General features: G+C 45.3%; 1 protein-coding gene across 12 annotated transcripts in view, besides 2 other annotated features; it reads right to left on the bottom strand.

The window, feature by feature from the left end:
* WWP2 (WW domain containing E3 ubiquitin protein ligase 2) overlaps positions 1 to 12,961 on the bottom strand; it is a 179,408-nt gene that overhangs the window by 105,305 nt on the left and 61,142 nt on the right. The window lies entirely within an intron of this gene.
* Positions 12,065 to 12,134: an enhancer, noted in NCBI's record as "active region_11047". NCBI's record gives its function as "activates an Ori minimal core promoter by ATAC-STARR-seq in GM12878 lymphoblastoid cells {active_cell/tissue: GM12878}" and the evidence as "EXISTENCE:reporter gene assay evidence [ECO:0000049][PMID:35858748]".
* Positions 12,145 to 12,244: an enhancer, noted in NCBI's record as "active region_11046". NCBI's record gives its function as "activates an Ori minimal core promoter by ATAC-STARR-seq in GM12878 lymphoblastoid cells {active_cell/tissue: GM12878}" and the evidence as "EXISTENCE:reporter gene assay evidence [ECO:0000049][PMID:35858748]".

Genomic DNA, 12,961 nt, shown 5'->3' with positions numbered 1-12,961 from the left:
CATGAAAGAGGGGGATAGAGAAACATTAAATGATACCATGAGGAAGCAATCAGATGCCAGAATGTGAGACATCCATACAATAACTGTCCTGAACTCCTGAAAATGTTAATGTCATTAAATTCATTTAAACAAAAAAAAAAAAGGAGGCAGGATGGAGACTCTTCTAGATCTAAAGAAAACCAACAAATGCCATGCGTGAATTGTGACTAAACCTTGGTTTGAAAAAAATACTCTTGGGATAAATGGAGAAATTTGCATACAAACTGAATATTAGATGATGTTTGAAATTATTGTTAATGTTTTTAGGTTCAATAGTAGTACTATGGTTTTATGCACAGGCACGGTGGCTCACGTCTGTAATCCCAGCACTTTGGGAGGCCGAGGTGGGTGGATCACCTGAGCCCAGGAGTTCGAGATCAGCCTGGCCAACATGGTGAAACCCCATCTTTACTAAAAATACAAAAATTATCCAGGCATGGTGGCACACACCTGTAATCCCAACTACTTGGGAGGCTAAGGCAGGAGAATCACTTAAACACGGCAGGCGGAGATTGCAGGGAGCCAGGATCGTGCCACCACATTCCAGCCTGGGCAACAGAGCAAGACTCTGTCTCAAAAAAAAAAAAAAAATTTACTTTGGTTTTATATGAGCATGTCTTATTCTTGGGAGACGCAAGAGTAGATGAGAATGATATATGCAGTTATTTTCAAGTGACTTTTTAGAAGAATAGGGTGAAGTTTTGGGGATTAAAGTGTCATGATATCTGCAATTTACCTTCAAATGGCTCAGGAAAAAAAATACACCCAGCCATATACTATAATAACATATAGATAAAACAAATTTGGCAAAAAAATGTTAACAAGAGCCAGAAATAGGTGGATGGCATTTGGGTGTTCACTGTATCACTCTTTCAATTCTTCCATATGTTTGCAAATTTCATAATTAAACATTGGGGAAAGGTTTTTTTAAATTGGCAAGGTTATTTAAAAAATTAAACTTCAGAGAACAGAACACCTCATTATTTGCTTTTTAAAAAAATTGAGCCAGAGGAACCCTATAATACATAATGGGACTAAAGAAACCATTAGCTAATTGAGTGACAGATTCGAGCATACAGGGGAGGCTGAAAGGCGTAAGTGTGGCTGGAAAACATATACTAGAACCTTAGTTATAAATAGCAGTCTTAGCCACCTCACCTCTGGGGCCCTCTGTTTTCACTACAGCTGTGCAGACGGCTCTACAGAGGCCCTTTCTCTTCCAGTATGTCTTCCTGCTGCCTTTGGAGGCATTGCTCAAAATCAAGAAACCCATGAAAAAGTAGGTTTAGTGAGTCTATTTCCATAACTGGAATCTGAGTTAGCATATAGGAAGCTCACAAGCTCCCCTCAAGCTCATCAAGCCCTGCTCTATCTGCATCCGTGCTGTTCACATCCGTGCCTTGAGCACCTACTATTCTAGTGACTCAACAGGAACAAGATGGGCAAAAATCTGTGCTCCTAGAGCATTTACATTCTACTTGGCAGAAACAGACAATAAGCAATTTCTTTTCTTTTTTTCCTTAAAAAAAAAAGAAAATTGCATAATCTGTTAGAAGGTGGCAAGTGCAGGCTGGGCGCCATGGCTCACGTCTGTAATCCCAGCACTTTCAGAGGCCAAGGCAGGCGGATCATTTGAGGTCAGGAGTTTGAGACCAGCCTGGCCAACATGGTGAAACCCTGTCTCTACTAAAAATACAAAACATGAGCTGGGTGTGGTAGCGGGCACCTGTAATCCCAACAACTCGGGAGGCTGAGGCAGGAGAATCGCTTGAACCCGGAAAACAGAAGTTGCAGTGAGCCGAGATTGCACCATTGCACACAGCCTGGGCAACAAGAGCGAAACTCCGTCTCAAAAAAAAAAAAACTAAAAAAAAATTTTTTAATGAAATAAAAAAATTTAAAAAAGAAGGTGGCAAGTGCAATAGGAAAAAATAAAAGAAGGGGGATGAAGAATGTTAAGCTGGGAGAGGATGTGGGGTAGAGAAGAAAAACCTCCCTGGGAAGGTGACAATTGAGCAAAGACTAAAGGATGGGGGAAGTCACGTGGGTATCTGGAGGAAGAACATTCTAGGCAGAGGAAAAAGCAAGCCCAGAGGTGCTAGGTGAGAGAGCATGCCTAGCATGTCTGGGGAATGGCAGGGAGGCCAGGGCAGCTGGAGTGGAGCGAGGGAAGAGAGGAGCAGATGAGGGCAGGAGGTAGCCAGAGCCTCCCAGTCAGGCCTTGGGACAAGGTCCTTGGAAATTGCTCAACATGGGACGGGACTCCGTTACAGGGTTTTGAGCAAGGAAGTGACCTGATTCCTGCTGTAGCACAACCAGTCTGGCTACAGGAGAAGGGCTGAGGTACACAAGACCAGGTAGGAGGTCACTGTGGTAATCCAGGCAAGAGCAGATGGTGGTTTGGGCAAAGGTGATGGCAGTGTCTTTAAGAAACACAGTGTCTAAGAAGATTCTACCCTGGCCTCCTCCCTAGCATGAGTTAGAAAGCCCCAGGACTCCCCACCGAGCACATCAGCCAGGCCCCGCAGGGCCACTGATCTCTTGGAATCAAAGCTTTGGGCAAGTCACAGGCAGGGGCTGCAAACAGTGCCAATTTAGAGCATGGCTAGAGGAAGTCTGATTCAATTAGGACTAAATGGAACATATATAATGAAAATATTCAGCTGGCAAGAGGCTCAGGTTTCAGCAAGAAAGCCAAAGGCCTAAGCTCATGCTAACTTCAGTAATCAGCAAACATACTTCTTCAGCTATACGACTGCACCCTTCTGTTCTAAGTAATAACTGGTTACCAATACCTTCTAATGCTACTTTATGGAGGTCGACAGACAGCAGTAAGGCTGAATATGAGAATCTAGGGAAAAGACTCTGGGAAGTCCCCAGGGACTGTGCCCTTTGAAAGACAGCCCTTTAAAAGCCAGCATACCAAGAGAGACAATCAGACACCATGTGCCTCCTGATGGAAACACATATCACCACACCAGAGAAAAAAAAGAACCAAGGTCAGTCTCAGCCTCTAGATCTGCCCATGAGGGACAGAGAGACACACAGACCCACACTTTAGGGAGACACACAGCAAAATCCAAAGTGTGGGAAACTGTAAAGGACACGCTGTCCAGTTTCTTCAACAACACACTGCAAGGAGTAAAAAGAGGGAGGACTACCTCTAAGTTAAGAGAGACTGAAAAGATATATCAATCTTGTTTGGTTCCTGACTCAGACAAACCGATGGCTTAAAAAGGCTGAGCACAGTGGCTCACGCCTGTAATCCCAGCACTTTGGGAGGCCAAGGCAGGGGGCTCGCTTGAGTCCAAGAGTTTGAGACCAGCCTGGGCAACAAAGTGAGACCCCATCTGTATAAAAAATAAAATAAAATAATTAGTTGGACGTGGTGGCGTGCACCTGCGGTCCCACCTTCATGGGAGGCTAGGCAGGAGAATCACTTGAGCCCAGAAGGTCAAGGCTGCACTGAGCCATGTTTGCATCACTGCACTCCAGCCTAGGCAAGAGAGCAAGATCCCATCTCGAAAAATAAAAATAAAAAATAAAAAGGTTGGGCCAGGCACAGTGGTTCACACCTGTAATCCCAGCACTTTGGGAGGCCAAGGCAGGCAGATCACTTGAGTTCAGGAGTTCAAGCCAGCCTGGCCAACATGGCAAAACCCCATCTCTACTAAAAATACAAAAATTAGCCAGGTGTGGTGGCACACATCTGTAATCCCAGCTAACTTGGGAGGCTGAGGCACAAGAATCACTTGAACCCAGGAGGCAGAGGTTGCTGTGAGCTGAGATCCATGTCACTGCACTCCGGACTGAGTGATGGAGTGAGACTCTGTCTCAAAAAACATTAAAAATTTTTTAAAAATAAAATGAAAGGGTTACACTACAACTGGGGACATGTAAAAACTGACTAGATAGTTCAAAATATTAAATGATTACCATTGAGTTTTCTAGGTATGAAATTGGCATCATGGGTTGGGTTTTTAAGAGTTCTTATCTTTTAGAGAAATACACTAAAATATTAATATTTATAGTTGAAGTATGTCGGGATTTTCATAAAATTAATCCAGCAGGGGTGGGATGGGAAGTTAGATGAGACAGGAATGGCCCGTCATAGATGGCTACTGAACTGGGTAATGGCATGTGGGGATTCATCGACTGTTTTTCCACCTCTGTGTATGTTTCACATTTCCTATAACAGTTTTTGTTCTAGTAACTGGCCACTATCAAACAAAACAAAACAAAACAAAACAAACAAACAAACAAAGAAGGCAGGGCGCAGTGGCTCACACCTGTAATCCTAGCACTTTGGGAGGCCGAGGCAGATGGTTCGCTTGAGCTCAGGAGTTCGAGACCCGCCTGGGCAACATGGTGAAACCCTGCCTCTATTAAAAACACAAAAATTAGCTGGGCGTGGTGGTACCTGCCTATACTCCCAACTACTTGGGGGGCTGAGGCGGAATAATCGCTTGTGCCCAGGAGGTCAAGGCTGCAGTGAGCTGAGATCAGGGTACTGCACTCCAGCCTGGGTGACAGAGTGACACTGTCTCAAAAAAAAAAAAAAAAAAAAAGGTTTTGTTTTTTTCCATGCCAGCATGCCTAAGGTACTAACAGCAACTATAACAATAAAAACTTGCAAGAATTTGACAAAATATAGTTTAAAATATAAAAAGGTAGAAGACACATCAGTCAAGCTGTTTGGGGAATAACTCTCACTCTTATTTTTCCTCCCTTCAAAGCCTCAGATTTGCAAGTGGCTTCAAGTTAATAATTTCCTATTGAGAAGAGTTTGTACGTGCAGCAAGGATGAGTCATATTTTTCTAAGAGTTACTTTTTCCCTTTCTTGACCTGGATTTTTAAAAATATGTTGTTTGCATGTGGTACTAATAAATATAGATAAATAGGGCATGGAAATTGCCGTCCTTATTCCAACAAAAGAAAAAAAACTACATAAACTGTAACTGCCAGACCATGCTACTATAATGCAATTCCGTTACAAAATCCAGAACTCTTGCCTGGAGAGTTTCACAGCAAATGTACGAAAGAACTTTCTAGTTTGGGGTATTTTCTCATTATTGTCCCTCCCCACCCCATACCACCGAAATGTATGTGCATGTCAAAGGAAAAATAGTTCTGTTTTCTTTTGGTTCCTAATTCAGAATACAAATGATAGGATTTACCTGGAAATTTGAGAAACATGAAACAAGAAAGAAAGGAGAATTTTTTAAAGGGAGGCCAAGGACGCCAGGATTAAGAGTCTCTGAAGCCCGATGAAGATGTGACTGATTTGGCCATTAACATAAGACCTGCTTAGTGAAACAAGCCTCCTTCTTCCTGCCTCCCTCTGCCCTCAATCCCATAGGCCCATCAAAAGCGGGTGAGAGTAAGCAGCACTTCATTAACAGGCCCGTGTTCATTCTACACATAACTGCAAACACTGGTACACAGAGGAAGGGAACCGGGGGAAATTCCAGAAGGGCAGAGAGTAAACAGTCTCCTTTCCATTCCCCAGTTCCCTGAAACTCAGACACACACAGGCTGGAGTCCACCCCAGGTCTAGAGAGAAGGCTCTTTCACATTTCCTTTGCAGTAAAGGAAGCCAGATGATTCCAGGATTTACTGTTACGATGGCTCTTCGGCTTCCAACCTTAGCCAGAGCCTAACAACAGAAAGTCTCTTCTACCCAGCTAGGCCAACAGTGAACACTGGTATTCCTGTTGGGGCACCAATGCTGACTCTGCTTACTCCACCTCCCCGCGGCCCCCCAACACTCACACTCTGGCAGGGTCTTACCCAGAACCCAGAATGTAATGAGAACTCTGGCTTGGTCTTGCAGTCTCTTCTTTGGGCTACTACCGCTGGGAATCTACCCTTTATCATTGCTAAATTAAAGTTTTGGTCTCCTGAGGGTTGTATGAACTCTTCTAGAGAAAATAGCCTCATTTTTACAAAGCCAGTTTACAAACTTTTTCTCTGTTTCTTGTTCATTCATTCAGGAAACATTTCCTGGGCTGGGCACAGTGGCTCATCCCTGTAATCCCAACACTTTGGGAGGCCGAGGCAGGAGGATGGCTTGAGACCAGTTTGGGACCAGCCTGGGCAACAAAGTGAGACCCTCATCTCTATAAAACAGAAAAAAACTAGGCCGGGCATGGTGGTTGTCGCCTGTAATCCCAGCTCTTTGGGAGGCCAAGGCAGAGAGATCGCCTGAGCGCTGGAGTTCAAGACCCACCTAGGCAATGTGGTGAAACCCCATCTCTACTAAAAATACAAAAACTAGCCAGGCATGGTGGCATGTGCCTGTAATCCCAGCTACTTGGGTGGCTGAGGCAGGAGAATCACTTGAATCCAGGAGGCGAACGCTGCAATGACCCAACATCGCGCCACTGCATTCCAGCTTAGGTGAAAGAGTTAGACTCTATCTGAAAAAAAAAAAAAAATTAGCTGGGCGCAGTGGCGTGTGCCTATGGTCCCAGCTACTCAGGAGGCTGAGACAAGAGGATTACTTGAACCCAGGAGGTTCAAGTAACATTTGCTGGGTGCCCACTATCTTCCAGACAGTGCTTGAAGCTATGTTATCATGGAAAATGGAAACAGACGTTGTCCCTGCTTTTAGGAACGTTACAATTAATTCAGTGGGAGAAGTGGAAGTAACAAGGAAATGTAAAGTTGCAACTGTAAGAAAAGGTTTCATGCAAGAGATATTAACATATGGTCCCCTGAGCAGCCAGATGCTTGGCCTGGTCAGGACATCAGGAAAAGTTTCTTGAGAAACTGATAACTGTCATCTAAGTTTCAAGAAGACAGCTAGCAGGGTAGGGCAGGGCAGGGAGGAAGACCATCCAGGCAGGGGAAATGTTGTGTGCAAAGGTCCTGTGGCACAATGAGCTGGGTGCATTCAGGAAAGTGGGCAGAGATGAACGGGGCTGGACTGGAATGAGATCCAAATGGGTGGGAGGACTGAGTGGTCACTGGACATTGCAATGCCTTGTGACATGCTGTGTTAGAGAGTTTTTCTGTAACCTAAGAGCCACTGCACAGTGCTAAAGGGTTTTTTAACTGAGGTGTGACAAGATCAGCCTTGCTGGATTAATAATCATTCTGGCTTTGGTGTGGAAAACAAGCCGGAGGAAAGGAAGGACAGAAACAGGCAGAGCAGACAGGAGGCTGCAGATGAAAATTTTGGCAGCCAGGAAAGGACTAGAGCAGAAGTGGAGCTGAAGAAGTGGGCAGACTTGCAAAAGTAAAAATCAAGATAATCTGAAAAGAGATTAGAAAACGGGGTGGGCAAGAGGGGTCGGGTATCGAAGACGGCTCCTGGGATTCTAAAGCACTTAACTGGACAAATAGAGGCTCTATATGATGAAATACAGAATACGGGAACAGGACCAAGTCTGAGGAGGTGACTTGCACATGTTGAGGTGCTTCTGACAGGGAAACACCTGTCAGGGAACACCACAGGGAAACACCAAGAGAGTCGTCAGATACGTGGGAAGAGAGCTCAGAAGTGATTCAAATCTGTGGCTCACCTGCACACGGTGGTTTGCATAGAGAGGAAGGTGAAACAGAGATGAGATCATGGAAGAAGAGGATGGAATAATAGGAAACTCCCATATTTAACAGTTAAATAGATGATGACCTTGCCAAGACGGGTGGATCACCTGAGGTGAGGAGTTCAAGACCAGCCTTGCTAACATGGCAAAACCCTATTTCTACTAAAAATATAAAAATTAGGCCAGGCACGATGGCTCACATCTGTAATCCCAGCACTTTGACAGGCCAAGGCAGGCGGATCACCTGAGGTCAGGAGTTCAAGACCAGCCTGACCAACATGGAGAAACCCGTCTCTACGAAAAATACAAAATTAGCGGGGTGTGGTGGTGCATGCCTGTGATCCCAGCTACTCAGGAGGCTGAGGCAGGAGACTCGCTTGAACTAGGGAGGCAGAGGTTGTGGTGAGCTGAGATCGCGCTGTTGTACTCCAGCCTGGGCAACAAGAGCGAAACTATGTCTCAAAGAAAATTAATAAAAAATTAATAATAGATGATGACCTTGCAAGAAAGACAGAGAAGAACAGCTAGAGAGATGGGAGGAAGATCAAGAAGGGTTCCTGGGAAGGCAGGAAAGGGGAGCCTCTAAGCATGGATGGGGCATCTGCCCTTAGGAGGAGGGAAAGAAAGGAAGGTGGATTGGGCACTCATGTCCTCATTTCAGTACATAACGGACTCACCAACCAGGACCACCCTTATTTCTCTTGATTCAGGGTCCCAGTGCTCTATAGGCAAGGCCCATCCAGCTACACACATTTTCCTTTACTTAAAAAAAAAAGTACATATGCACACACAATTCAGCACCAGTTACCCATTACAGTCACCCACGTAACAAGGTACCCCAGAAGGAGTCTCGGGAACCAGCTGTGGATCCTCTTAAAACAAGATACAAAGATTTCATCCGTCTTGGTAAATCTCTCAAGCCGTAGCATATTTTAATTTTTTAAAAGGTACCTGGGGAAATAAATACAGATCTGGGAAGGTTAAGTCTTTAGAATAAATTATCAGTTCACATCATTACTGCTGCCTTGTCATTAGTGCTCCTCATCTCCGAGGGGAGGGAGAGTCCCTGCCACACCATTAATCCCCTGCCCAGGCCCTGCCTGGCTCCAACAGATCACCCATGCTCTGTGCCCTCAGGGAACCGCAGCGGCCACAACCGCCTCTCTCAGTTGCCTGGTATCAAAGCCATGTTTATAAACACCTTCCAAAGAACAAACCTCCTTTTAAATGTTCTTTGCAGAGCAAAATGTAGGAGTCCTCTTAGAAAATTATTTTTTAAGGTTACAATTCTGCTTTTAAAAAAATTCCCTTGTATACATTGGAGTTTTTTTACAAATTATAATTTCAGATGAGGGACCTATTATGCCCCAATTAAGATTTGGATTAGTGATTATAAAGCGTATACAACAACATGGAAAATTATTCATACCACAAAGTTAAGTTTTTATTTTTTTTGAGATGGAGTCTCTGTCGCCCAGGCTGGAGTGCAGTGGCGCGATCTTGGCTCACTGCAACCTCTGACATTATAGAATGCACCCTATTACTAAAATCATGTAAAAATAAGTATACAAAGGGGCAAAGAAATAAATGAACCAGGGAAAAATGATAAGTTGTGTTTGAGCAGTAAGATTATGAAACAAAGATTTTCTTTGTTCAATTTCCATTAATTCCACAGTAGTTTTTTTTTTTTCATAATTTCCATTTCAGTTAAACATTAGACATGTATGCAGGAGTGTCAACAAGTGAAATGACACAAGGCATGAGATTTTCTTGCAAATACTTCCCCAAAAGATGGGAGCTAAAGATGAAGGACAAGTAGATGTGTGCTGGTTATCATTTAAGCTGGGTAACTGGTGCTAGATGGTCCATTATTCTCTCCGCCCCCCCCCCTTTTTTTTTTTTTTTTGAGGTGGAGTCTCGCTCTGTCACCCAGGCTGGAGTGCAGTGGCACGATCTCGGCTTACTGCAAGCTCCGCCTACCGGGTTCACACCATTCTCCTGCCTCAGCCTCCTGAGGAGCTGGGACTACAGGCACCTGCCACCATGTCCGGCTAATTTTTTTTTGTATTTTTATTAGAGACGGGGTTTCACCGTGTTAGGCTAATTTTTTTTTTTTTTTTTGTATTTTTATTAGAGAGAGGGTTTCACCATGTTAGCCAGGATGGTCTCGATCTCCTGACCTCGTGATCCACCCGCCTCGGCCTCCCAAAGTGCTGGGATTACAGGCCTTAGCCACCGTGCCCGGCTCCACTTTTTTTTTTTTTTTTTTTTTTGAGACGGAGTCTCACTCTGTTGCCCAGCCTGGAGTGCAATGGCACTATTTCGGCTTACTGCAACCTCTGCCTCCTGGGTTCAGCCAATTCTCCTGTCTCAGCCTCCCAAGTAGCTGGGACTACAAGCACCCACCATCACGCCCGGCTAATTTTTTTGTGTGTATTTTTAGTAGAGACAGAGTTTCACTATGTTGGCCAAGCTGGTCTCGTACTCCTGGCCTTGTGATCTGCCTGCCTCGGCCTCCCAAAGTGCTGGGATTACAGGCATAAGCCACTGCGCCTGGTCTACTTTTTTTTTTTTTTTGAGACGGAGTTTCACTCTTGTCACCCAGGCTGGAGTGCAGTGGTGTGATCTCAGTTCACTGCAAGCTCTGCCTCCTCAGTCCAAGCGATTCTCCTGACTCAGCCTCCTGAGTAGCTAGGATTATAGGCACCCACCACCACACCCGGCTAATTTTTGTATTTTTAGTGCAGATGGGGTTTCATGATGTTGGCCAGGCTGGTCTCAAACTCCTGACCTCAGGTGATCTGCCCACCTCAGCCTCCCAAAGTGCTGGGATTACAGGCATGAGCCACCGCGCCTGGCTGCTTCTACTTTTATTTATGTTTGAAATTTTCCATAGTAAAAAGTTTAAAAAGTATTTTCCAGGCAGGGTGTGGTGGCTCACGTCTGTAATCCCAACACTTGGAGAGGCCAAGGTGAGAAAATCCCTTGAGCCCAGTTTGAGACCAGCCTGGGCAACATAGGGAGATCCTGTGTCTACAAAAAATGTAAAAACTTAGACAGGTGTAGTGGCATGCACCTGTGGTCCCATCTACTTGGGAGGCTGAGGTGGGAGGATCACTTGAGCCCAGGAGGTCAAGGCTGCAGTGAGCTGTGATCGCACCACTACACCTCAGCCTGGGCAACAGAACAAAACCCTGTATCCAAAAAAAAAAACCAAAAAAAAAAAACCCACTTCTGCTATATCATATCGTCTTTACAATAAATAATATTAGCTTTCAAAATAAAAAATAATGTGCTCATCAAAAAAATTCAAATACAGAAAGGTAAACTATGACACCTACTCCACAAATGCACACATTCCAAAGCCTTTCCCATGGTATCGCCACTTTAGTTTTTTGGTTTTTGGGGTTTTTTTTTTTTGGAGATGGAATCTCGCTCTGTTGCCCAGGCTGGAGTGCAGTGGCACCATCTCAACTCACTGCAACCTCTGCCTCCTGGGTTCAAGGGATTCTCCTGCCTCAGCCTCCTGAGTAGCTGGGACTACAGGTGCCTGCCACCATGCCCAGCTAATTTTGTATTTTTAGTAGAGACGGGGTTTCACCATGTTGGTCAGGCTGGTCTCGAACTCCTAGCCTCAAGTGATCCGCCCACCTCAGCCTCCCAAAGTGCTGGGATTACAGGTGTGAGCCACTGCACCCAGCCAGTATCGCCCACTTTGAAAAACTTTGTATGAAGTCATTGCAAACACAAGCACAAATATACACATAAAAGCTACAGATGCAAGGCCGAGCACAGTGGCTCATGCCTGTAATCCCAGAGCCTGAGGTGGGTGGATCACCTGAGCTCAGGAGTTCGAGACCAGCCTGGCCAACAAAGTGAAACCCCATCTCTACCAAAAATACAAAAATTAGTCAGGCATGGTTGTGCATGCCTGTAATCCCAGCTCCTTGGGAGGCTGAGGCAGGAGAATCACTTGAACCCGGGAGGTGGAGGCTGCAGTGAGCCAAGATCACACCACTGTACTGCAGTCTGGGTGACAGAGTAAAACTCTGTCTCAAAAAAAAAAAAAAAAAAAAAGCCACAGGTGCAAAGTTGAGGTCATTCTAGGCCCAAAGCTCTGCCCTTTGATTTTTCACTTGTAATCTATGAATCTTTTCAAATATATACAGATGCACTCTATCCACTCAAGAGGGTTTGGGGATTCCTCCCTCCAAGAGAATGAATTCATGCAATACATGTGTTATAAACATTAATTAATTGAGGGAGAGAGGAAAAGGGCAAGAGGAAGGAAAAAAGGAAGGAACAAAGGGAAGGGGGAGGGAGGGGGAGGGGGGAAGGGAGGGAGGGAGGGATATTATTTTCTGAGAAGTGTGTGCCTTACTGTCCTGGATGTAATAAACAGCACTCCCAGGCCAGGCCAGGCACTGAAGTCAGAGTCCCACTCTGTACCTAATAGTGGCACTAACTGCCCACTTATGTGACTGTGACACTCTTACTCTGGTCCAGGATTACCTTCCCTTTTGACGGACCACTCTCCCACAAAGAATAAGCCTCCTACACTAAGAAAAATACTCCAAGAATCCTGGTAGTCTGAAGGAAGAGGGAAAATTAAACACTGCAATGAGATAAATGAGGTCTGATGTTAACATGGCTATTCCGGCAGCCACAGCACCTCCCCTGGGAGAACCTGGGAGGCTGGAATGGACGGTCAGGCGGAAGCCGCCCGAATGACTGGTGCGGAGCAGAGGCCCAAACACCAGATGAAGTGTTTCAGTTTTGTTTTTGGCAAGGGGAAGGAAACAGCTCACATTCAGGCAACAATCTCATTTTCCTGTCACCAGGTCAAGGCCACCATTCCCGGCCTGCAGCAGGTGTTCATTTAGGGCCTGAATGCTACACGGCTGATGAGAAACAGCACAGGCCCTTGGAGAAGATGGCCCAACGCCCCTGTGCCACAGGCTCAAGAGGAATGGAAGAAGTTTCTAGAACTGTACAAATATAACCCTACACTAATGGTAACCTGATTTCGCAGAAAAGTTTCTTCTGAAGACAAGGTGATGTTTTAACAAAAATTTTTGGCTGGGCACGGTGGCTCAAGCCTGTAATCCCAGCACTTTGGGAGGCTGGGGCAGGCAGATCACTTGAGGTCAGGAGTTCGAGGCCAGCAGGGCCAACATGGCAAAACCCCTTTTCTACTAAAAATATAAAAATTAGCTAGGTGTGGTGGTACACACCTGTAATCCCAGCTACTTGGGAGGCTGAGGCAGGAGAATCGCTTGAACCCAGGAGCACAGGCTGCAGTGAACAAGACCGCACCACTGCACTCCAGCCTGGGCAAGAAAGCAAGGCTCCACCTCAAAAAAAAAAAACA

Source organism: Homo sapiens, chromosome 16 (genome assembly GCF_000001405.40).
Source record: "Homo sapiens chromosome 16, GRCh38.p14 Primary Assembly".
NCBI lineage: Eukaryota > Metazoa > Chordata > Mammalia > Primates > Hominidae > Homo > Homo sapiens.
This window is presented reverse-complemented; position numbering and strand designations above follow the sequence as displayed.